This window comes from Homo sapiens, chromosome 19 (assembly GCF_000001405.40).
Source record: "Homo sapiens chromosome 19, GRCh38.p14 Primary Assembly".
Lineage (NCBI taxonomy): Eukaryota > Metazoa > Chordata > Mammalia > Primates > Hominidae > Homo > Homo sapiens.
Window position 1 is genome coordinate 38303373 of NC_000019.10, and position 23767 is coordinate 38327139.

The 23767-nt window shown below is 55.0% G+C and overlaps 3 protein-coding genes across 12 annotated transcripts in view, besides 7 other annotated features; 2 read left to right on the forward strand and 1 right to left on the reverse strand.

Annotated features, from left to right (window-relative positions):
* Nucleotides 1–738: an enhancer, noted in NCBI's record as "H3K27ac-H3K4me1 hESC enhancer chr19:38794013-38794750 (GRCh37/hg19 assembly coordinates)". NCBI's record gives its function as "activates a minimal SCP1, AML or CMV promoter by ChIP-STARR-seq in primed H9 embryonic stem cells {active_cell/tissue: H9 hESC(primed)}" and the evidence as "EXISTENCE:reporter gene assay evidence [ECO:0000049][PMID:30033119]".
* YIF1B (Yip1 interacting factor homolog B, membrane trafficking protein) lies at nucleotides 186–18515 on the reverse strand. Of its 8 annotated transcripts, NM_001145463.2 has the most exons (9): nucleotides 12497–12575; nucleotides 6033–6271; nucleotides 5852–5956; nucleotides 5607–5685; nucleotides 5420–5477; nucleotides 4225–4380; nucleotides 4056–4149; nucleotides 3542–3618; nucleotides 186–2135 (listed from the first exon to the last, which is right to left on the reverse strand). In NM_001145463.2, exons 1-9 carry the CDS (start codon nucleotides 12543–12545, stop codon nucleotides 2117–2119), a joined length of 876 nt encoding a protein of 291 aa, NP_001138935.1. In that variant the 5' UTR covers nucleotides 12546–12575; the 3' UTR covers nucleotides 186–2116. The 8 variants fall into 8 exon arrangements, with proteins under 8 accessions (NP_001138935.1, NP_001034762.1, NP_001034761.1 ...); NM_001039673.3 differs by lacking the exon at nucleotides 3542–3618; NM_001039672.3 differs by lacking the exon at nucleotides 3542–3618 and having other exon boundaries at nucleotides 12488–12575.
* Nucleotides 739–1476: an enhancer, noted in NCBI's record as "H3K27ac-H3K4me1 hESC enhancer chr19:38794751-38795488 (GRCh37/hg19 assembly coordinates)". NCBI's record gives its function as "activates a minimal SCP1, AML or CMV promoter by ChIP-STARR-seq in naive H9 embryonic stem cells {active_cell/tissue: H9 hESC(naive)}" and the evidence as "EXISTENCE:reporter gene assay evidence [ECO:0000049][PMID:30033119]".
* On the forward strand, nucleotides 879–1634 carry C19orf33 (chromosome 19 open reading frame 33). 2 transcript variants are annotated; one of them, NM_001317801.2, is made up of 4 exons: nucleotides 879–911; nucleotides 1003–1118; nucleotides 1193–1314; nucleotides 1473–1634. In NM_001317801.2, the coding sequence occupies exons 1-3, from the start codon at nucleotides 890–892 to the stop codon at nucleotides 1310–1312; spliced, it is 258 nt and encodes an 85-aa protein (NP_001304730.1). In that variant the 5' UTR covers nucleotides 879–889; the 3' UTR covers nucleotides 1313–1314; nucleotides 1473–1634. The 2 variants fall into 2 exon arrangements, with proteins under 2 accessions (NP_001304730.1, NP_277055.1); NM_033520.3 differs by having other exon boundaries at nucleotides 1252–1314.
* Nucleotides 1477–2214: an enhancer, noted in NCBI's record as "H3K27ac-H3K4me1 hESC enhancer chr19:38795489-38796226 (GRCh37/hg19 assembly coordinates)". NCBI's record gives its function as "activates a minimal SCP1, AML or CMV promoter by ChIP-STARR-seq in naive H9 embryonic stem cells {active_cell/tissue: H9 hESC(naive)}" and the evidence as "EXISTENCE:reporter gene assay evidence [ECO:0000049][PMID:30033119]".
* Nucleotides 4172–4341: a silencer, noted in NCBI's record as "fragment chr19:38798184-38798353 (GRCh37/hg19 assembly coordinates)". NCBI's record gives its function as "represses an EF-1alpha promoter that drives an FKBP-Casp9 reporter gene in an ReSE screen in phorbol 12-myristate 13-acetate-treated (for megakaryocytic differentiation) K562 erythroleukemia cells {active_cell/tissue: K562(+PMA)}" and the evidence as "EXISTENCE:reporter gene assay evidence [ECO:0000049][PMID:32094911]".
* Nucleotides 12410–12899: a silencer, noted in NCBI's record as "silent region_10566". NCBI's record gives its function as "represses an Ori minimal core promoter by ATAC-STARR-seq in GM12878 lymphoblastoid cells {active_cell/tissue: GM12878}" and the evidence as "EXISTENCE:reporter gene assay evidence [ECO:0000049][PMID:35858748]".
* Nucleotides 16301–16924: an enhancer, noted in NCBI's record as "H3K4me1 hESC enhancer chr19:38810313-38810936 (GRCh37/hg19 assembly coordinates)". NCBI's record gives its function as "activates a minimal SCP1, AML or CMV promoter by ChIP-STARR-seq in naive H9 embryonic stem cells {active_cell/tissue: H9 hESC(naive)}" and the evidence as "EXISTENCE:reporter gene assay evidence [ECO:0000049][PMID:30033119]".
* KCNK6 (potassium two pore domain channel subfamily K member 6) overlaps nucleotides 16473–23767 on the forward strand; it is a 12232-nt gene continuing 4937 nt past the window's right edge. The window contains exons 1-2 of one of the 2 annotated variants that reach the window (NM_004823.3): nucleotides 16473–16900; nucleotides 23221–23616. In NM_004823.3, coding sequence (NP_004814.1) covers nucleotides 16579–16900; nucleotides 23221–23616 — 718 coding nt within the window. In that variant the 5' untranslated portion in view covers nucleotides 16473–16578. Of the gene's footprint in view, nucleotides 16901–21670; nucleotides 22206–23220; nucleotides 23617–23767 lie in introns of those variants that run through there. The other variant, XM_047439726.1, reaches the window with a different exon arrangement.
* Nucleotides 16566–16655: a silencer, noted in NCBI's record as "silent region_10567". NCBI's record gives its function as "represses an Ori minimal core promoter by ATAC-STARR-seq in GM12878 lymphoblastoid cells {active_cell/tissue: GM12878}" and the evidence as "EXISTENCE:reporter gene assay evidence [ECO:0000049][PMID:35858748]".

A 23767-nucleotide genomic window follows, 5' to 3' on the forward strand; every position in this document is an offset into this window, starting at 1 on the left:
CCCGGCCTGACACTTATCTTTTATATCTATATATTTTTTTCTTTGTTGAGACGGAGTCTCACTGTGTCGCCCAGGCTGGAGTGCAGTGGTGTGATCTTGGCTCACCGAAACCTCTGCCTCCCAGGTTCAAGTGATTCTCGTGCCTCAGCCTCCGGAGCAGCTGGGATTACAGGCGTGAGCCACCATGACTGGCCTAAAACACCTACCTTTTATTTTTTAAAAAACCAACACATTATCAGTACTTCATGCCAGACACCATTCTAGGAAATTAACTCCTCTGACTTTCACATCAATCCCATGGGTAGCTGTTATTTACAGATGAGGAAACTGAGGCACAGAGGTAAAACAACTTTGCTGAGGTCACCTTGCTGCTAAGTGACACAGCTGGCATCTAGTGCAGCAGGCTGGCTCCAAGTCTATGCCCCTCACCCCTCAGACGCTGCTCACCAAGCCGGAGGGGCTGTGGGAGCGAGTTAGAACACGGGACGCCCCTGGCAGCAGCGCCCTGCGTGTTAAAGCGCCGCGGAGGAAGCTGTATTGTCGCGGTACGCAGGAAGGCAGGGGCAGCACCTCCCTCTTCAAGAACGAGCATCTGAGCTTTTGGGGGAAACCTGTAGCTCCCCGAATGCCATCCACAGAGCCCCCCTCAGTCGGCCTCCCCTGAGGCACCAAGGCTGGCGGAAGCAGTCACCTGTCCATCTCCCCCACTTCTCACAGAGGAAATCCTGGGTGGTGCCGGGCAATGAGTCAGGGCTGAGGACCAGGACAGAGGTTGGGTGGGGCGTCTCAGCATTCCTCCAACGGGCAGGTCTCAGCGCTCCTCCCCCTGCTCCGCTCCTCTGCAGGGCCCAGGCGCCCTTGGCCTTAGGACCCAACTTCTCTTACCGCCATGGAGTTCGACCTGGGAGCAGGTGAGCTCCTGGGGAGTGTGGACTGGAGGTGCAGGGGGCCGGACTCAAGCCCAGAAGCTGCCTGCACCAACCACCCAACTTCTCTCCACAGCCCTGGAGCCCACCTCCCAGAAGCCCGGTGTGGGGGCGGGCCACGGGGGAGATCCCAAGCTCAGTCCCCACAAAGTTCAGGGCCGGTCGGAGGCAGGGGCAGGTCCGGGTCCAAAGGTAAGTCGCCTCATCACCGGCTGCGGAGGGGCGGGAAGGCTGGGGTTGCCCCTGACCCCAGGGTCCTGCCTTAGGCCTCCAACTTCAGGGGGCTGGGTAAGGGGCGCCGCCTCACTGCCGCACCTCCATCCAGCAAGGACACCACAGCTCTTCCGACTCCAGCAGCAGCTCCAGCGATTCGGACACGGATGTGAAGGTAAGGGGCTCTCGCCAGCGTCCCCAAGCACGTGCCCTGCACCCCAGAGAGGCGTCCCCGCACTGGGGCTGGCGGGGAGGGTGCGGGGAGTGGTCCCCCTGTCTCGCTTCCAGCCCAGAACCATCTCTTCTCTCCCATCCCTGCCCTCGGCCCCACAGTCCCACGCTGCTGGCTCCAAGCAGCACGAGAGCATCCCGGGCAAGGCCAAGAAGCCCAAAGTGAAGAAGAAGGAGAAGGGCAAGAAGGAGAAGGGCAAGAAGAAGGAGGCTCCCCACTGAAGGGCCCTGGACAGGGCTCATTAAACCTTCCTCTCTGCCTTCTGCGACTGGTCAGCGTGGTGCCTACTCTGGCCCGTCCCCAGCTCCCTGCCCCCTGCCCAGCGCTGGGCCCGCCCATTCGTGCGCGAGGCCAAGGAGAGGCTGTCCACGCCATGCCCATCAGGGTTTATTGTTTCTGTAACAGCGGCCACGCCCTGGGGCGGTGGCCTGTGCAGCTGGAGATCTCTCAGCACCTTGGGTTGGGGGCGGGGCTGGGCGGGACATGGGATGGAGGCGGTGCCTGTGGCCAGACAGGGTGGACCTTGGGGCCTGCAGGCAGGAGATGAGTTCGGCGGCCACAGTGGCCCCCAGCAGCAGCAGCAGCAGCGGGAGGTTCAGCGGGCGCGCTCACCGCACCAGGTGGAAGGTGAGCCAGTACATGAGCATAGGCTGCGCCGCCGCCACCGCCATGGTCAGGTACATGCGCAGCTGGTTCCGGGCCCCACGCACCGGGACCCCCTCAGCTGCTGCGTCTGCCAAGATCTTCAGCCGCAGCGTCCGGATCTGGGTGGGAAAGAGAGAGAGGAACCAAGGGATTTACCCTTGAGCCCTCTGGGCCAGAGTGAGAGCCCGGACATACTTCCAGCCTCTGCCTAGAAGCCCCAGGCAGCTGGGGACAAGTCCCTGGCCCTCTGCAGCCTCAGGTTTCTGCTCCCGGGGCCTCAGTTTCCCCAAACCTCCTAACATGGTGAGGATTTGCTTCTCCCCGGGCCCTGTGGGCAAAATCTGAGAAGGTTCCATACTCAAATGCCAGGCAAGGTCTTGGAGCGGGTGAAGGGGGACTTCCCGGTGGACACCCGGCCTGAGGGGGTGGGAGACGTGGCCCAGGATGCTGCCCCCCCTTATGCTGGCCACACGGCAATTTCTGAAGACACGCCAGAAATGCTATCTTTATTTTTATTAAAGGACAGGGTCTCTGGCCTGGTGCGTTGGCTCACGCCTGTAATCCCAGCACTTTGGGAAGCCAAGGCGGGCGGATCACGAGGTCAGGAGATTGAGACCATCCTGGCCAACACGATGAAACCCCGTCTCTACTAAAAATACAAAAATTAGCTGGGCGTGGTGGTGAGTGCCTGTAGTCCCTGCTACTCAGGAGGCTGAGGCAGGAGACTTGCTCCTGAACCCAAGAGGCGGAGGTTGCAGTGAGCCAAGATCCCGCCACTGCACTCCAGCTTCCCGACAGAGCGAGACTCTGTCTCACAAAAAAAAAAAAAAAAAAAAAAAAAAAGTCAGGGTCTCACCCTGTCCGCCAGGCTTGACTGCAGTGGCGTGACCTCAGCTTACTGCAGCCTCAACCTCCCAGACTCAAGTGATCCTCCCACCTCAGCCTCCTGAGTAGCTGGGACTACAGGTGCACACTGCTATGCCTGGCTAATTTTTATATTTTTTTAGAGATGGGGTCTTGCTATGTTGTCCAGGCTGGTATCAAGCTCCTGGCCTCCAGTGATCCTCCTGCCTCAGCCTGCCAAAGTGCTGGGATCACAGATGTGAGTCACGTGCTTGGCCTAAACTTTTAAATGATGAGACTTAAGTCAAAGTTTATCCAAGGCTCTGCCCTGGCCCACCAGCCACCACAGTCTGCCCTCTGCTTCTCACATGCTCACAGTGAATCCTCCCAGCACCTTGAGGTGCAAGTATCATCATCCTATTTTACAAAAGGGGAAACTGAGTTTATTTTTTATTTTTATTTTTTTTTGAGACGGAGTCTCGCTCTGTCACCCAGGCTGGAGCGCAGGTGTGCGATCTCGGCTCACTGCAACCTCCACCTCCTGGGTTCAAGCGATTCTCCTGCCTCAGCCTCCTGAGTAGCTGGGACTACAGGCACACACCACCACACCCAGCTAATTTTTTGTATTTTTAGTAGAGATGGGGTTTCACCGTGTTAGCCAGGATGGTCTTGATCTCCTGACCTCGTGATCCGACCGCCTCGGCCTCCCAAAGTGCTGGGATTACAAGCATGAGCCACCGCGCCCGGCAAAAGGGGAAACTGAATTTAAAGAAAGGAAGTGATTTGCCCAGGATCCAACTAAGCTTGGGGTCCACCCAGCCTGCAGACCCCAGTGCTCTTCACCAGCACCCCTGACTCCAGTGGGAAGGGCTCTAGAGAATCTCCTTCCAGGGAAATTCTGGCAGGAAGGCTCCCATGTAAGGAGAGTGGAATGAGAGTGAGAGCCCAGCCTGGAGCCTGTGTGCTGGGGATCCCCAGCCTCTAGCAGCCTGGCTGGTGTCTCCTCTTCCAGGGCTCAGGATACCCCCTCTTCCAGGAAGCCCTCCTGACCCCCCAGGCCGGGCAGCCACTCCAGGGCTCCTCAGTTCAGCAATGTGTCTCTGGTCTGAACCCCACACCTGACATCCTCTGCTTGGATGCCTGGATGCCTCCGGGGCACCTGTGCCTCAGCCTCACCAGCCCCGAGCCCAGCTCACCATGAACACAAAGATGGCTACGCAGCACCAGCCCAGCACCAGGTAGTAGCCAATCTTCCCGAAGAGCAGGCCCATGAGGACCCCGCCAATCATCCTGGGGGAGGGAGAGGAGGCTGTGTGAGGACAAGGCCCAAGGGCTGGGGCTGGCGTGAAGGGCGGGGGTACTCACCCGACATATTTGTAGCCCAAGAAGGCCACCAGGTCGATGGTGGTGAGGTCGGTGTTGACAGTGACCAGATAGAGGCTGAGCAGGATGGCCAGCACCTCCAGGGTCAGCCAGGCCAGGGCTGAGCTCGCTTGCAGCCCCAGGAGGTCTGGGGAGAACCTGCAGGCACAAAGCCCCGCCACTTGGTTGGCTGGTTCAGACCCCCCACCCCCAGCACCCATCTGGGGACAGCTCTGTGTTGGGTAGGGCTGGACACCTGGCAGTGACCAAGATGGATGTGCGCGCTATCCTATTCCCACGGAAATCCCATCCAGAGAGGATGGCAGACCCATCCCTAGACAGTGACACCCAGAGCAGGCAGGGCTGGAGTCACAGGGGGCTGTGCTGACAGTCAGGAGACAGGTGTCAGAGAGGGCTTCCCAGGAGAGGGGACACCGAGCTGAAGCCTGCAGGAAGGAGCTGGTCAGGGACAAAGCCCTTGGCCTCTGCCACATCCCCAGGGCCTCACCAGTTAGTTAATGACAGATGTGTTCAGTGCCATAAAGGAAAAGAACAGGGCGATGTGAGCAAGAGGAGGGGCCTGATCTAGCCTGGGGGGCAGGAAGGCTTCCCGGAGGAGGTGATACTGGAATGGAGCCAGCAGGGATGTGCAGGTACTCGGCAGTAGTGGAGGGGAACACGCTCCTGGGCAGAGGGGAGTTGATGTGACAAGGCCCCAGGAGACAGTGCCAGCCCTCCCAAGGAAAGGAATAGACCGGAGCGTGCAGCGGGAGGGGCAGTGCCAGGCTGAGGAGCTGGGGCTTGATTGGGAGCCATGGATAGCAGGGCGGGGCAGGGTGGGCCAGGCCCGCACCTCAGACAGGACCATCCTGGCTGCTGCTGGAGTAGGGGTGCAGTGGGGAGCTGGTGATGACAGAGGGAGGATGAGGATGGGTCTGGTAGTAGAGGCCAAGAGGAAGGGTGGATGGAGAAGGGTCACCCAGCACAGGGGATGGTGACGCAATGCATGTGGGTAGGAAGGACAGGGAAGAGGCGAGGGTGATGCTGACAGTGACCCTGAGGGCTGTATCTTGGGCCAACTGGGAGCAAAGTGGGGCTGTCCTGAAAGGGGAACTGAGACCTTGGAACTGAGACCTTCCTGACCAACCATGGGCCTCCCAAACCCCACCTTATTCGGCCTGCCCCAGGCCTCCCTTACCTATCCTGGGTCCCCAGCGCAAGACCAGCCACCAAAACGTAGGTGATGAAAGCCATTGCTGTGGGAGACAGACACACAGACACTGGTCACCAGAGGAAGAACTGCCCTGGGCCTCCAGGCACCCACACACCCGCTCCATATAGGCCCGGAAGAGAGAGGAGGGTGCAGGGTAGGGGGAGGGTGAAACCTGGAATGTAGAGGTCCGGGGCATTGACGTCAAAGCGGGGGGCCACCGGGGTGTCCTGTTGGTACTGCACTTCCCAGTCCTGCGGGGATGGGGAGACGGGCAGGACCCTCAGAGCCAGGCCCCTCCCACCCTGCTACAGGCCCTCCTCCCTCGAGGCGAATCTCCCGGCTCCACCATGCACCTGCCCCCACCCCTGAGCCCCCCACAGGCCCACTGCAGACCCACATTCCCCTGGGGGTGCTGACCTGGTGTAGGTAGGGGAAGAACAGCAGGCCCAGCTTTCTGCCCACATACATGGTGTCCACAGCAAAGTAATACTTGAGCTTGGTGATGGGGATGAAGCGGTCGATCTGGGGAGGCAGAGCTCAAGTCTGAAGCCCTGTGGCCCCGTGCATCCCCCCACTCCCACCAGCCCCGCCCACTCACGTTCTTATCCACCAGCTCCTTGCCCTGCGCGGCCAGGCTGCTCCCATAGGCCATGGCCATGTTGGACACCGGGTCAGCCAGGAAGGCTGCATGGGGCGTGGGAGAGGCTGCAGGATAACTCAGGCCACCAGGTGCCCGCTGGGCCCCATAGCCCCGGCTCTGGGCTGAACTTGTGTCATCGAAAAGCTGGTGGGGGTCGGCCATGCCCGGCTGGGACACAGGGATCCTCCGCTTCGAGGCTGCAAGGGAAGAGAGTGAGAAGGAGCTGGGGACCCAGGATAGGTAAGGGAGACCTGGCGAACCTCATTCATCCCACAGCTCTGCCTCCTGCTGCAGAGGAGGGTGGTGTCACCATTAGAGACACTGGCTTTGATGTCAGATGGACTGGCAGGTGCAAGCTCTGCCATTCATCCACCAACCCACCCATCTAGCCAACTATCCATCCACTGATACATTCATCTATGCATCCATTCATCTACCCACCCATCCATCCACCTATCCATCTACCCACCCTCCCACTCACCCACCCATCCATCCATCTATCCATCTAACCATCCATCCATCCATCCATTCATCCATCCATCCATCCAGCCATCCATCCACCCACCCATCTAGCCAACTATCCATCCACTGATGCATTCATCTGTCCATCCATTCATCCATCCACCCATCCATCCATCCACCCTCCCACCCATCAATCCATCCATTCATCCATCCACCCACCCATCTATCCATCTATCCATCTACCCACCCACCCATCAATCCATCCATTCATCCATCCACCCATCCATCCATCCATCCATCCACCTATCCAACCATCCATCCATCCACCACCCATCTAGCCAACTATCCATCTAATGATGCATCCACCCACCCACCCACCCATCCATCCATCCACCTACCCATTCATCCATCCACCCACCCACCCATCCATCCACCCATCCACCCACCTATCTAGCCAACTATCCATCCACTGATGCATTTATCTTTCCATCTATCCATCCATCCATCCACTCACCAAGCTATCTATCCATCCACCAACTCATTCATCTATCCACCCATCTATCATCCATCCATCCATCATCATCCATCCATCTAACCATCCATTCACCCACCCACCCATCCACTTATCATCCATCCATCCAGATATCAATGATGATGATTATCTCAAAAGCTACTATGTGCGAGAGGAAGGGGGGGCTATTGGGCACAAAATCCTGTACCAAGCCTTTTACACAAGGCCGCTGTCCATATCTCCTATGCTCCCCCTCAATGACTTGGCTCCAGCCACCTGCGCCTCCCAATGCTCACTGAATGCACCAGGAAGGTGCCTGCCTCAAGGCCGCTGCACCAGCTGTGCCTCTGCTTGGAACGCTCTTCCCCCAACATCCTCAGAGCTCCCTCCTCTCCTCCTCAAGGGCTTTGTTCAGTGAGGCCTTCCCCAGCCATCCTGTCTACAACCGTACCTCCCTTGGTGGCACTCCCCACCCCCTGCCCTGCTTCACTGATATCCATAGAACTCGGCACTAGCTGACATGCTGGCTGTCTTATTTTGTTCACTGTCTCCCCCACTCAACTGTGAGTCCCCCAAGGTGGGGATCTTGATCTCGTTCACAGCTGAGTCCCCAGCCCCTTGCACAGGGTTAGAGTAGGCACTTGATAAAAACCTGATCAATGAATAAAGGCAGCCTGGGCAACATGGCGAGACCCCATCTCTACAAAATATAGAAAGATTAGCTAGGTGTGGTGGTTCACGCCTATGGTCCCAGCTACTCGGGAGGCCAAGGTGGGAGGATCGCTTCAGCCTGGGAGACAAAGGTTGCAGTGAGCCGAGACTGCACCACTGCACTCCAGCCTGGGCAACACAGTGAGACCCTGTCTCAAAAAAAAAAAACAAAAAACAAAAAACAGAATAAATGACCACTCCCAATTTACAGGTGTGGAAACCAAGGCCCAGACAGCTAAAATGACTTGTGCAAAGGGCCAAACTGAGTGAGTGGCAGAGCAGGAGTCCAGCCCTGCTGTGCCTGATAAATATTACAATAATCCTGTGGATGAACTCATCTCATCTTCACAACCACCCTGTTTCTGCCAGCTGCCAATGCTATCATCATCCCCATTTTACATATGAGAAAAGCAAGCCCTAAAGAGGCTCAGGCCTTTGCCCAAAGTCATAGTATGAGAGCCAGGTTTCAAAAGTTTTTAAAAGGTCCCTGTGGCCTCACGTGGGGAACAGATGAGGGGTGGGCAGGGAAGGGAGAGAGGCTGCTGGGGTGATCCAGGTGGGAGACCATGGCAGACAGGACTGGGGGTGTAAAAGAGGAATGGGTTATTTCTGGATCAGTTTCAGAGCTAGGAGGGACAGGACTTGCTGAGGGGTGCTCAGAGGAGGTGTGTTAAGAAGTGGGAAGAGGCCAGGCGCAGTGGCTTACGCCTGTAATCCCAGCATTTTGGGAGGCCAAGGCAGGTGGATCACCAGGTCAGAAATTCAAGACCAGCCTGGCCAACATGGTGAAACCCCATCTCTACTAAAAATACAAAAATGAGCTGGGCATGGTGGTGCGTGCCTGTAATCCCAGCTACTCCGGAGGCTGAGGCAGGAGAATTGCTTGAACCGGGACCGGGGAGGTGGAGGTTGCAGTGAGCCAAGATCGCGCCACTGCACTCCAGCCTGGGCTACAGAGCGAGACTCCATCTCAAAAAAACAAAACAAAACAAAACAAAAAACGTGGTAAGAGGCTGGGCATGGTGTCTCACGTCTATAATCCCAGCACTTTGCGAGGCTGAGACAGGCAGATCACCTGAACTCAGTTCAAGACCAGCCTGGCCAACATAGTGAAACCCCATCTCTACAAAATATAAAATAGCAGGGCATGGTGGCGTGCACCTGTAGTCCCAGCTATTCAAGAGGCTGAGGTGAGAGGACTGCTTGAACCTGGGATGTCAAGGCTGCAGTGCCAAGATCATGCCACTGCACTCCAGCCTGGGCGACACAGCAAGGCCCTCTTTAAAAAAAAAAGAAGTGGGAAGAGCCAATACTGTCTCTATAGATCCTGGTTTGAGTAATGAGGCAAATGGGAGTGCTCTCTACTGAGATGGAGAAAATAGGGAGGGCGGGATTTGAACCCAGCACTCTGCCTCCAGGGCCTCTGTTCCTAATCAATAACCAATGCTACCCTGCAAATATCTGCTGAGATCCTACTATGTGCCACCCACTATTGCAGGCACAGGGAATGAGTGATCAGATGACAGTGGGAATGGGGAGAGGAATCGAATTATCCACGTCATGACTTTCTCTGCACCTGGATGTTCTCATCTACACAACGGAGTTAACTGTCCCACCTTGCAGAGCTGTTGTGACACTCATAAACTCCTTGGCCCCACAGAAAGCAGTCCATCCATGTCACTCCTGATCAGCTACTAGCCTCGAACCCTTCCTCTCAATTATTCGAAGCCTGAAGACGGACCCAGGTCTCCTCAATTCCAAGGCAAGCAGCACTGGCCCCAGCCTCTCTGCAAGCCCCACTTCCCTTTTCTTTCCCCTACTTCTTCTTCTTTTTTTTTTAGACAGATTCTCGCTCTTGTCACCCAGGCTGGAGTGCAATGGTGCGATCTCGGCTCACCACAACCTCCACCTCCCGGGTTCAAGCAGTTCTCCTGCCTCAGCCTCCTGTGTAGCTAGGATTATAGGCGCACGCCACCAAGCCCAGGTAATTTTTGTATTTTTAGTAGAGATGGGGTTTCACCATTTTGGGCAGGCTGGTCTCGAACTCCTGAGCTCAAGTGATCTGCCTGCCTTGGCCTCCCAAAGTGCTGGGATTACAGGCGTGAGCCACCAGTGCCTGACCCAGAGTGATCTTTTTTTTTTTTTTTTGAGACGGAGTCTCACTGTCACCCAGGCTGGAGTGCAGTGGCGTGATCTCAGCTCACTGCAAGCTCCGCCTCCCGGGTTCACGCCATTCTCTTGCTTCAGCCTCCCAAGTAGCTGGGACTACAGACGCCCACCACCACGCCCGGCTAATTTTTTTGTATTTTTAGTAGAGACGGGGTTTCACCGTGTTAGCCAGGATGGGCTTGATCTCCTGACCTCATGATCCGCCCGCCTCGGCCTCCCAAAGTGCTGGGATTACAGGCGTGAGCCACCTAACCCGGCCCAGAGTGATCTTTTTAAATACAAATAAGACCACGTCATCCTCTGCCTAAGATCACTATTCACTGTGCTCTGAAAAAAATCCAAAGGCCTGCTAGGCCCTGCATGACCCACTCCTGCCAACCACCATGGTTTGCAACCTCTCCTGGGGATCCCATGCACCAGCCAGCCACATGGCCTTTCAGGCCCCGACTCTGCCAAGCTCCTTGCCCCCACTGGCTTTTGAATATGCAGAGCTTTCATCCTGGAACAACCTCCCTCCATCAGCACCTCCCAATATCACACAGAGGCCCCTGCCTTTGCAGAGACCTTCCTCACTCCTCCCTGTAATGCACTAACCTCGTCTGGTTCCTTCTCATAACATGTGGTGCTTTCTTTTTCTCTTCTGAGCACTCACAATAATTTCTGAATATATATTCATATGTCTACTTGTTTACTTGGCACAGGCCTCCAATGCCTTTCCTTCTCTCTCTCTTTTTTTTCTTTTCTTGAGGCGTTGTTTCGCTCGTTGCCTAGGCTGGAGTGCAATGGCGCAATCTTGGCTCACTGCAACCTCCGCATCCTGGGTTCAAGCGATTCTCCTGCCTCAGCCGCCCGAGTAGCTGGAATTACAGGTGCGCGCCACCACGCCCGGCTAATTTTTTTTTTTTTTTTTTTTGAGATGGAGTCTCACTCTGTCACCCAGGCTGGAGTGCAGTGGTGAAATCTCGGCCCACTGCACCCTCCACCTCCCAGGTTCAAGCAATTCTTCTGCTTCAGCCTCCTGAGTAGCTGGGACTACAGGCGCACACCACCACGCCCAGCTAAATTTTCTATTTTTAGTAGAGATGGGGTCTCACCATGTTGGCCAGGCTGGTCTCGAACTCCTGACCTCGTGATCCTCCCACCTCGGCCTCCCAAAATCCTGGGATTATAGGTGTGAACCACTGCGCCCAACCTAATTTTTTTGCATTTTTAGTAGAGATGGGGTTTCATCATGTTGGCCAGGCTGGTTGGCTGGGCACCGTGACTCATGCCTGTGATCCCAGCACTTTGGGAGGCCAAGGCAGGTGGATCACCCTCTTTTTTTTTTTTTTTTTTTTTTTTTGAGGCGAAGTCTTGCTCTGTCGCCCAGGCTGGTGCAATCTCGCCTCAGTGCAACCTCTGCCTCCTGGGTTCAAGTGATTCTCAAGCCTCAGACTCCCAAGTAGCCGGGATTACAGGTGCTCGCCACCACACCCGGCTAATTTTGTGTACTTTTATTAGAGATAGGATTTTGCTGTTACCCAAGCTGGTCTCCAACTCCTGGCCCCAAGTGATTCGCCCACCTCGACCTCCCAAAGTGCTGAGATTATAGGTGTAGGCCAGCACGCCCAGCCTGCCCTCTCACTACAAATCTCCTTCTCCTGGGTAACTTTTCATGATCAGAATTATCCTCTTCCATGCCGGGTGCGGTGGCTCACGCCTGTAATCCCAGCACTTTGGGAGGCCTAGGCGGGCGGATCACCTGAGGTCGGGAGTTTGAGACCAGCTTGACCAACATGGAGAAACCCCGTCTATACCACCCCGGGCGTGGTGGCCTGCGCCTGTAATCCCAGCTACTTGGGAGGCTGAGGCAGGAGAATCGCTTGAACCCGGGAGGCGGAGGTTGCGGTGACCTGAGATCGCGCCATTGCACTCCAGCCTTGGCAACAAGAACAAAACTAGGTCTCAAAAAAAAAAAAAAAAGAAAAAGAAGTATCCTCTTCCAGGAAGCTTCACTGACACCCCTAGGCTGGGTCATGTGCCTCCTCAGGGCTCCCACAACATCTCCATCCCAACACAGGGCCTGACACATGGGAGTTGAGACAAGTTAGGTTGAATGAATAAATGAAACACACAGCACACTCACGGAGATGAAGAGACAGGAAAAGGGGGCCAACAGCACAATACAGGTTCGCTTCTTAAATGAGCGGTAGGCATGGCCCTCTGCGCTCCCGGGGGGCCACGAAGCTGTCCTAAGGGTGTGGGCGACAGCAGGCGGGTACTGGGGAGCCACGGAAGGGTGGGGAGCAGGGAAGGGCGGATCGCTAACTGCAAATGAATGAAAGTTGCATTTCTCTGCATATCGCACGCTATCCAGTCCCAAGTTGTTTTCTTCTAAAGGAATTTCCTAAAGAATCGCCCCCCAAGGGGCCTCCTACCCGAACCTGGCATCCCAGCGCTGTGCACACCTCAGGGTTCCAGATCCTTGATCTCGTGACCTCTGACCTGCAGTGACCTCGCCAACCGACGCGGCCGCCCCGCCACGCCCCCGCCCGCCCGATCTCCTCCGCCGGCCACGTACGCCACTTACGCAGCCGGGGCGTCCCCGCAGCCGCCGCCGCCAAGCCTGCCGGGTGCATCCTTCGCCGCCGCCACCTAAGCCGCGGTTCGGAGCGTGCCCGCCCGGCTCCCGTACCCACGCCCCGCCGGCGAAGAGACAGCCAATGGACGTCAGGATTGAGGGAAGGCCTCGCCCCCACCCCCCCGACCCCTCCAGCCCCCCCCTTCACGGAGGCCTGGACGACTGGGCGGTGCCTTACGTAAGAGGCGGAGACTGGGCTACTGGGCTCATGCAGTAAAGCGAGTCAAGGCCTGAGTGGCAGGAGGGCGAGGCCGGGACCAATCCCAGGAGGAGGCGGTGTCTGCCACGACAGAAAATGAGTGTCTGCCCCTTGCCGGGGCTCACGCCCCTAACTCCAGCACTTTGGGAGGCCGAGGCGGGAGGATTGCTTCAGCCCAGGGATTCGAGACTAGCCTGAGCAACATAGTGACCCTCGCCCCGCCCCATCCCTACAATTTTTTTTTTTTTTAATTTAGCCAGGCTCAGTGGCTTAACGCCTGTAATCTCAGCACTTTGGAAGGCTGAGGATCGCTTGAGCCCAGGAGTTCGAGACCAGCCTGGGCAACAGCGAGATCTCCATCGCTACAAAACATTTTTTAAAATGTAAATATCGAGCGAAAAGGTCGATGGGAAATGCAGTTCTCTGCAGACAGCCGTTCAGTTTGGGTCATTGAGAGCACTGGAGAGCCAGAAAAGGCTGTGGAGCAAGGAAAAGAGAAACATTTGTGTTCCTGAGGGGCTAATTGGAGTTGTAGGGGCTTATACAATTTTTGACATCCCTTAGGTATTAAAGTAAATATTTATTTATTTTGAGACAGGGTCTTCCTCTGTTTTCCAGGCTGCCTCGGACCCCCTGAGCTCAAGTGATCCTCCTGCCTCAGCCTCCCCAGTAACTGGCACCACAGGCATGCACCACCATGCCCAGCTAATTTTTAAATTTTTTGTCAAAACAGGATCTTGCTATGTTGCCCAGGCTGGTCTCGAATTCCTGGGCTCAAGCCATCCTCCTGCTTCAGCCTCCTAAAGCATTAGGATTACAGACATGAGCCACAGTGCCCGGCCTTAAAGTGAATATTTAGAGTGAGAAAAGGAAACCCAACAAGTTAGGTGAGAAGAACCAGGTGTCTCTCTTGGAATAGATCTTAAGGCAGTTTCCCAGAAATTCATAAAAATGTTCTCACATTGCAACCTGGTTCCCTCTGTCCACCAAAAGCATTCTACAACCCCCAGCAACTCACAGCACACAGGCGCACCTGCAAGTGAAGAGCCCTGCCCACCTAGCGTCCTTAGTCTCTCCTCTCTCTGACTCTCAGTCTCCCCCCTTCTCTCCCTCTCAGACTCCCCGACTTATCTCAGGAAAACATAGTGGTGGAAGTTACTTCTGCGCAGCGATAGCGCATCCGGAAGGATGTCAGCAAGTGACCCTATCGCTGTGGCTTCCTCTTCCTCCTCTGAGACGTTGTCTTTTTGGAGACCTTAAGGGCTGCTCCTGGTTTCTCAGTGATGAGTGCTGGCTCCACTGTGGTTCCTTTTTGTGAGCGAAATGCCCGCATTCTTCTTCACCTCTGATTTAGCCTCTGTCCCCTGGGCTCCAACACCATTTTCTCCTCATCCTCAGCCCTCTCTTGCTCTGGTTGCTCCAGATACATCTCTTCCATAAATGTTTTTTTTTTTCTTATTGCTTTTTTGTTTGTTTTTTGAGATGGAGTCTTGCTCTGTCGCCCAGGCTGGAGTGCAGTGATGCGATCTCGGCTCACTGCAACCTTTGCCTCCTGGGTTCAAGTGATTCTCCTGCTTCAGCCTCCCGATAGCTGAGATTACAGGCGTGTGCCATCGCACCTGGCTAATTTTTTGTATTTTTAGTAGAGACAGGGTTTCGCCATGTTGGCCAGGCTGGTCTCGAACTCCTGACCTCAGGTGATCCACCTGCCTTGGCCTCCCAAAGCACTGAGATTACAGGCATGAAACACCGCACCCAGCCTTATGTATATATATTTAATTAATAAAGCAAGTACTGCCAAGTGCAGCGGATCACGCCTGTAATCCCAGCACTTTGGGAGGCCAAGGCGGGCAGATCACCTGAGGTCAGTTTGAGACCATCCTTGCCAACATGGCGAAACCCTGTCTCTACTTAAAATACAAAAATTAGCTGGGTGTTGTGGCGGGCATCTATAATTCCAGCTACTTAGGAGGCTGAGGCAGGAGAATTGCTTGAACCCAGGAGGCAGAGGTTGCAGCGAGCCGAGATTGTGCCATTGCACTCCAGCCTGGGAGACAGAGCGAGACTCTTGTCTCAAAAAAAAAAAAAAAAAAAAAAAAAAAGCAAGTTCATTAGTTCATTGGCTTCCTGCTGGCCTCATGTTCACCCCTTACCAGTTGTGTGACTACTACTTTTTATTTTTTTGAGGCAGGGTCTACTCTATCACCCATACTGGAGTGCAGTGGTGCGACCATAACTCATTGCAGTCTCTAATTCCTGAGCTCAAACGATCCTCCTGCCTCAGCCTCCCGAGTAGCTGGGACTACAGACGCATGCCACCACACTTGGCTAATTTTTGTATTTTTTGTCGAGATGGGGTTTTGCCATGTTGCCCGAGCTGGTCTCAAATGACTACTTCATTTTTAAGCCTAAATTTTCTCATCTGTTTAGTGGGAATTATATTGGGACGGGGTTGAGAATTCAGTGCAAGTTCAGGTGTCCACAGGGCCTGGCAGAATGTAAGCCTTCGATCACTGGCACCTATTGTGTTACTGATTCTATTATCAGGTGCCTCTGCTTCTGGATTGTCAACCCCAAGTTGGGCTCTGCCCGGTGATCTGCCAGCTCTTTAATAGAACCAGCTGGGACATGTCTGAGCTGAGCCCCAAGCCCCACTCCTCTGCCAGTCGGATGGGGTTAGGACTCTGGGCTGCCCTCCAAAAGGCTGTCAGGAAGGCGCTGAGTTCTGGCTGGAGGCAGAAGTGGAGAGACTTACGGGGGGGCGCAGAAAGAAAAATTTCCTCTTAAATAGAGGCGTGTATTTGTGATTCTGCCTGGCTTGTTTCCATTCATCCTTCATGCTTCAGCTCAGCTAGCCCCTTCCTCAGGAAGCTCTCTTGACCTCCCTAGGCAGGGGTGGTTGCTTCCTCTGGACTCCCAGGGCCCTCTAGGGCTCCCTGATTCCAGGCTTGATCATTGTACCCTTGCTTCCCTCATCACAGCCCTGACCACTCTGGGCTGTCTTTTTTCTTTTTTTTAGAGATAGGGTCTCACTCTCTCCCAGGCATAGCTCACTGCAGCCTCGAACTCCTGGGCTCAAGCAATCCTCCGACCTCAGCCTCCCGAGTAGCTGGGACAACAGGCGTGGGTCACTCTTGTGTCAGTCTCCCAGTTAGACTGGGAGCCCCATGAATGCATGGCGCAGGATGGTCTCATCATTACTGAGTCTCCAGGATCATCCAGCGAGGGGTCAGCAGAAAGTGGGCATTGAACAAAGCTTTGGTGAGTAGCTGAGGATCCCCACTCTGTCCACACGGGCACAGGGGACACCTGACTCTGTGGTGTCCGCTGTTCCCACTCCGAGGCTCACAACTTGGCGAATGGAGCGAGAATTGGATTTCAGTTTGCCCCTTGCTCCGTCAGCCGCGCGCCCTGATGCAGTGCACAACCTTAGCTGCTGTGCGCGATGGGGGGCGACTCCTCGGCCTGCGAGCAGAGAGGAAAGTTCAGATTCTTCTAACATAGAGAACCAGCCTTCCAGGAGGACGAGAAGGAAGGAATGAGGGGAAGAGAGGACTACCTCCACCCTTTCCATCCCGTTGGTCTGCTGGGTCTGGGAGCACTGGGCTCCACCCTCTCCGAACGAACACCTGGCGGTTGGGCGTGCCTCAGTTTCCCGGAGGCGGGGCATTCCTCCGTCGCCGCCCCCCACCTCCCCTTTTTCCTCTTCCTCTTGGGGCATCTGCTGCCGCGCCTGTAGCACTCCCGGAACTGGAACTAGGTGCCAGACGGTCCGGAGGCGGGGGCCACGTCAGCGGGGCCACCCAGGGCTCGCGGGGTCCCGGTGGGTGCCATGCGGAGGGGCGCGCTTCTGGCGGGCGCCTTGGCCGCGTACGCCGCGTACCTGGTGCTGGGCGCGCTGTTGGTGGCGCGGCTGGAGGGGCCGCACGAAGCCAGGCTCCGAGCCGAGCTGGAGACGCTGCGGGCGCAGCTGCTTCAGCGCAGCCCGTGTGTGGCTGCCCCCGCCCTGGACGCCTTCGTGGAGCGAGTGCTGGCGGCCGGACGGCTGGGGCGGGTCGTGCTTGCTAACGCTTCGGGGTCCGCCAACGCCTCGGACCCCGCCTGGGACTTCGCCTCTGCTCTCTTCTTCGCCAGCACGCTGATCACCACCGTGGGTACGTAAGCGCCTCACCGCAAGGCGGCGAGGACCCGGGATCCCCACTTCATCCTTAACCCCTGGGGACCCCGGGGCCCTCACGAATACCCTTATCCCAATCCCCTCTGGGCTTCGGATCCCCCGAAAAGACCCCAGTGAGGACCCGGGACCCAGGCTCATGATATCTGCTCTGCTCGGGGAGCCCAAGTCCGAGCCCTTCCTCCTAAGTAGGAAACACCCAGCTCCCCTCAGAGTACCTTTGCAGAGACCAGCTGGGACCCCGTTCCTCGGTCTTTTTTTTTTTTCTTTTCTTTTTCTTTTTTTGAGACAGGGCTTACTCTGTCGCCCAGGCTGGAGTGCAGTGGCACGATCTCGGATCACGGCAGCCTCCGCCTCCCGGTTTCAAGCTATTCTCCTGCTTCAGCCTGCCGAGTAGCTGGGATTACAGGCACATACCACCATGCCTGGCTAATTTTTGTATTTTCAGTGGAGACGGAGTTTCACCATGTTGGCCAGGCTGGTCCCAAACTCCTGACTTCAGGTGATCAGCCCGCCTCGCCCTCCCAAATTGCTGGCATTACAGGCTTGAGCCACTGCACTGGGACTGCATTCCCCGGTCTTAATCCTCTTGGTGACCCGGGTCTGTCCAGCCCCCTCTAAGCCTAGGACTGTCCTCAGAGACCTCCAGCAAGGACCCAGGACACGCCACCCTCCAAGGGAGATCCTTGCCCCCTCTGGACCCAGAACTCAACCATGCCAGGACCCCTGACTTTATCTCTAGTCTGGGCCTGCCACCCTTGCCATGTCTCCTGACCCTCCAGATATGTCCTTCTGGGAAACCCCCCTGGAGAAACCCCATCTCAACCTCCTCCTGACCCTGGCGCCTTAGCGAGGACCCTAAATCTCCAGACCTCTCAGGGTGTCCTCACTAAAGACCTCCCTCCCAACAGAGATTCCTCAGCAAGGACCTGGCACCGCCATCTGGGACTCCTGGCCCTCTGGACCTGGGCCTCTGCTCCAGACTGTCATCTGTCTCCTGGCCCCATACTCCCCAGCAGGCAACTCTGACCCCAGACACAAAACCCTTCCCTAGGTACCCCACCCCATCTTGACATCTCCCCTATATGGGGTCACTCTCAATGCAGGATTTTCCTCCCAATAGGGACACCACCTGTTCCCTCTGGACCTGGGACTCCCAATTCAGCAGCCCCAGCTAGGGATGTGTCAAAAGGACCCACCGTGGAGGGACCCCGAGTTTTGGGAAACCCTGAGAAGCCAGACTTGGGAAATCTCTTTGTTGCCAGGCTCTGCTGCTCCCCCAGCCCCTTCTCAGCTCCCAGACTTCCTCTTTGTTTCTTTGTTGGGGATTTGTTGAGGAGAGGAGGCTGGTGCAGGGTTAGCCCAGACTCCTAACTCGCCCTCCCGGCCAACAATAGGGGGCAGCTTTTGCTTTTGGTCCCCTGGCAGCAGAGCTGGGTGACTTCTCGTTAGCTGACCTCCCCTGGGTCTGCCCATGCTGCCAGGGCGGCCTGACCTGCTTCTGAGCTTCCCTGGGTCATGTGCACGCCTCCTACCTCTTCCCAGATCCTGGCTTCTAAGAAGTCATCCCTGGCAGGGCAGATGAGGGAAGCCAGACACACGTCAGGCACAGCCTGGCTACATCCCTGCTCAGCCGCGGCTCATTGCCAGGCCTCAGTGTCCTCCCCCATTGCTAAAATGGAGATAATAACACTCCCCATTTCCCTGTAATAGCAGTAGCCTGACAGAGGACTTGCCAATGCATGCTTTAACTCACTTAATCATCACAACAGCCTTGTGAGGCAGGCGCCTTTATAGGCTGTATATTTTTAGCCATGGAAACCGAAGCCTAGAGAAGTTGGGTAACTTTCCTAAGGTCACACAGCAAAGACGGCATAGAGTAGAGATTTAGTCAAGGCCATCAGGCTCTAGAGTCCCATGCTGCTAGCCAACACACCACACTACTTAGAAGAAGGGTGCTGTGTGTGTTGTAAAAGAAAAAAATATGCTAACACTTGTTAAAAATGGAAAGTTATTGTGGTAGAGGAGAGACCATTGCAAAGGCCAGAGAGACTGAACTCAACTGTGAATATAGCAAACACAGCTGGAGTTTTATGGCTAACAAGTAGAATAAGGGAGTCAGTGGATGGAAGAATACTAAGAGGAGAGACATTCGGGTAGGGGGATTCTTGCTAAACTCAGCTTAACAAGATTCTTGCTAAAGACAGGCCAAGGACTTAGATATTGAGAGGGGGTGGATGAGGGCCAGGCGCAGTGGCTTACGCCTATAATCCCAGCACTTTGGAGGGCCGAGGTGGGCAGATCACCTGAGGTTAGGAGTTCGAGACCAGCCTGACCAACATGGTGAAACCCCGTCTACTAAAAATACAAAAATCAACCGAGCATTGTGGCAGGCACCTGTAATTCCAGCTACTCGGGAGGCTGAGGCAGGAGAATCACTTGAACCTGGGAGGCAGAGGTTGCAATAAGCTGAGATTGTGCCACTGCACTCCAGCCAGGGCAACAGAGTGAGACTCCATCTCAAAAAAACAAAAAACAGGCCGGGCAAGTTGGCTCACGCCTGGAATCCCAGCACTTTGGGAGGCTGAGGCGGGCGGATCACCTGAGGTTAGGAGTTCGAGACCAGCCTGGCCAACATGACGAAACCCCATCTCTACTAAAAATACAAAAATTAGCCAGGCATGATAGTGCGTGGCTGTAATCCCAGCTACTTGGGAGGCTGAGGCAGGAGGATCACTTGAACCTGGGAGGCGGAGGTTGCAGTGAGCCGAGATCTCGCCCCTGCACTCCAGGCTGGGCGTTAGAGCAAGACTCTGTCTCAAAACAAACAAACAAAAAAGAGTGGTGGATGAGGAATTTGATCAGATATCGGGGTGGGTGGCTTGTAGGATTCTTGCTAAAACTGGGCCTACTTAAGGACTCAGGAGTCAGACTGAAGTGCGGTCAAGGAGGGAGTCTTTGTCCGTGCGAAGCGCTGGTAATAACTGATGTTTATTGAGTTAATGTTGACTGTTTTCATAGTGGGTGAAGCCTTGAATGCATCTGGAGAAGTGGAAAACCAATTAAACGTGATTCAGAGAGACCTCTTCCCACAATGCCCCTCGTTTGGTCATAGGCCCAAATCTTGGCCCTGGAATTGATCTGGGCAGCCTTGCTGCACTTGAGGCAGGAGGAAGCGGGTAGTCCTACCCGGAACTGGGAATCGGAGAGAGGAAGTGAGCATTACAATCCTTGTAACTCTTTCCACGCTCTTGCTAGGCACTATGCCCTATCCCAGCCTAGTAGGATTACTACCACATTTGAGGAAGGGATTGTTTTTTGTTTTTCAGACAGGGTCTTGCTCTGTCACCCAGGCTAGAGTGCAGTGGCGCAGCCTTGACCTCCTGGGCTTAAGTGATCCTCCCACCTCAGCCTCCTGAGTAGTTGGAACCACACGTGCACGCCACTGCACCCAGCTAATTTTTTTATTTTTTATTTTTTGTAGAAGGTGGTCTCCCTATGTTGCTCAGGCTGGTCTCAAACTACTCCTAGGCTCAAGCGGTTCTCCTGCCTTGGCCTCCCAAAGTGCTGGAATTACAGGTGTGAGCCACCTTGCCTGGCCAGGAAGGGATTGCTTACGAGCCCATTTTTGCAGAGAGGGAACTGAGCCTCAGAGGGGAGAAGTCATCTGGCCAAAGTCATGCAGGGAGTAAATGGCAAAACACTGTTTTGGACTCTTCTCTTTGAAATAGTAACTTGAGGCTCACAGGCCCCATGCTTTTCAAACTCTATGATTTGTCTATTTATAAAGATCTCTTTTATTATTATTATTTTTTTTTACAGAGATAGGGTCTTGCTATGTTACCCAGGCTGGTGTCAAACTCCTGGGCTCAAGTAATCCTCCCACTTTGGCCTCCCAAAGTGCTGGGATTATAGGAATGAGCCACCTCACCCAGCCTGTTTATAAGGATTTCATGTCATTTGCAAACCTGCCAGGCTGCTGGAGTTTCCCCATCAAAAACCCTTGTATTAATGAGGGTTGGGGGTCATAAGTGATACACCTCAAATTACAGTTGCTTAAATAAGAAGTGTATTTCTTGTTCACATTCCAGGTAGTCAGTCCAAGTCGTACTGCATGGTCAGAGACCTAGGCTCCTTCTCAGCAAAACCCTGGTGTTCCTGCCTAACTCCTCTGCGCAACTTCCATTCCCAAGGTCGCCTAATGGTCCAAGATGGCTGTGTAGCTCCAGCCTCCATGTCTGTGCTCCAGCCAGCAAGAGGAGGGAGGAAAGAAGGGAGACTGGCATCCCTCGCTCCTTAAGGACCCTTCCTGGAAGTTGCCTGACTCTTTCATGAATACCTCATTGGCCAGAGATTAGTCACAGAACCACACCTGGCTCTGCAAGGGAGGAGGGAACGTCCTGATTCCAAAAGGCCATGTATCCAGCTAAAACCCAGGGGGAGCCTTTTAAAATTATTATTATTGTTATTATTTTTTAAAGTAGAGATAGGGTCTTCCTATGTTACCCAGGCTGGTCTCAAATTCCTGGGCTCAAGTGATCCTCCCACCTTAGCCTCCTAGAGGGCTGGGGTTACAGGTGTGAACCACCATGCCTGGCTGGGATCATTTCTTTTCCCAAGTTTTTTATTATAGTAAAATACACATAACATAAAATGTACCATCTTAGTCATTTTTAAGGGTACAGTTCTGTGACATTAAATACATTCATATTGTTACCATCATCACCTTCATCTTTTTTTTTTTTAATAGATACGAGGCTGGCCATGCCATGTGGGAGATGGAGTTATTGCTCAACTCAAATCACTCTCCACCATCCATCTCTAAAACTTTTTTTTTTTTTTGAGACGGATTCTTGCTCTGTCACCCAGGCTGGAATGCAGTAGCACAATCTTGGCTCACTGCAACCTCCACCTCCCAGGTTCAAGTGATTCTTCTGCCTCAGCCTGCTGAGTAGCTGGGACTATAGGCGTGAGCCACCATGCCCGGCTAATTTTTGCATTTTTAGTAGAGACGGGGTTTCACCATATTGGTCAGGCTAGTCTTGAACTCCTGACCTCATAATCTGCCCGCCTAGGCCTCCCAAAGTGCTGGGATTACAGACCTGAGCCACCACGCCTGGCCCATTGTCTCGCCCATTTTAGAATAGGGCAAGCTGAGGCTCAGAGCCAGGCAAGAGCCTGCACCCTTCATTCTTTGTTTTGAGAAGTACTGATCGAGCGCCCACAGCAGTGATGAAACACGCAGAACCTCCTGCTTTGCTGAACTGGCAGCCTATGAGAAGACGGTAAACCATAGAGCATGCTAGAAGGTGTTAAGTGCTATGGGAAAAAAAAGTGTTGGGTAAGAGGATGTTACCATTTAGGGTGCTCAAGGGAAAGCCTCACTGAGAAGGTGACATTTGGATGAAGAAGACCTGGAGAGGAGAGAGGGGAGCATTCTTTGGGGAAGGAACAACCAGTGCAATGGCCCTGGGGTGGGAGCGTGCTGCCCTGGTGGACCCTGTGGGGCTTCATGGGTCATGATGAGGACTCTTTCCTTTTACCTGAGTGAGGTGGGGCCACAGAGGGGCTCTGTGCAGGGAAGGGGCATGACTGAACTCAGGTGTTGGCAGGCTCTGCTGGCTGAACAGATTGTAGGGGCTGGGGATGGGGAAGGGAGACCCAGGAGGAGGCTGCTGTGGTGGACAGGACCAGGGTGGGGGCCATGGGACTGGGTGGGGGAGAAGTAAGTGGGTTTTGGGCCTATTTGAAAGTTGAGATAATAGGCTTCACTGACAGATGGAGTGCGGCATGAGTGACGAGGGCGTCAGGGATGAAGGCAAGGCTCTTGGCCTGAGCGTCGAAGGACAGAGGTGCCATCACCTGGGACAGGAGGGGATGTGGGGAGAGGCAGGTTTGGGATGAAGCCATGTGTAGGTGTGGGTGTCCGCAGACCTCTCGCTGCAGGTGTTGAGTGGGCAGGAGGGTTTTCCCTGGCTGGGTCCTGGGGATCAGATCTGTAACTCCAACACCTTGGAAGGCAAAGGTGGGAGGATCACTAGAGTCCAGGAGCTCGAGACTAGCCTGGGCAACATAGTAGGACCCCATCTCTACAAAAAAATTTAAAATCAACGGGGCGTGCTGGACATGCCTGTAGTCCCAGCTACTTAGGAGGAGGCTGAGGTGGTAGGATCACTTAGGTCCAGGAGTTCAAGACTGCAGTAAGCTATGATGGCACCGCTGCACTCCAGCCCGGGTGACAGAGTGACCCCCATCTCTAAAAAGAAAAAGATTTACCCTTTACTCTCTTTACTCCCCTAGGCTATGGGTACACAACGCCACTGACTGATGCGGGCAAGGCCTTCTCCATCGCCTTTGCGCTCCTGGGCGTGCCGACCACCATGCTGCTGCTGACCGCCTCAGCCCAGCGCCTGTCACTGCTGCTGACTCACGTGCCCCTGTCTTGGCTGAGCATGCGTTGGGGCTGGGACCCCCGGCGGGCGGCCTGCTGGCACTTGGTGGCCCTGTTGGGGGTCGTAGTGACCGTCTGCTTTCTGGTGCCGGCTGTGATCTTTGCCCACCTCGAGGAGGCCTGGAGCTTCTTGGATGCCTTCTACTTCTGCTTTATCTCTCTGTCCACCATCGGCCTGGGCGACTACGTGCCCGGGGAGGCCCCTGGCCAGCCCTACCGGGCCCTCTACAAGGTGCTGGTCACAGGTGAGCTGGGTGGCTAGGGCAGGGCTTTGAGGAGGACCTAGCCCTGTCCCTGGGGGAGTTAAAGGCTCACAGTCCCACTCTGGGACTTCCAAAAGGGATCCAACCCCACCCTGCAGGGTCCAGTAGAACTGCGGCCCCGCCTGGAAAATCT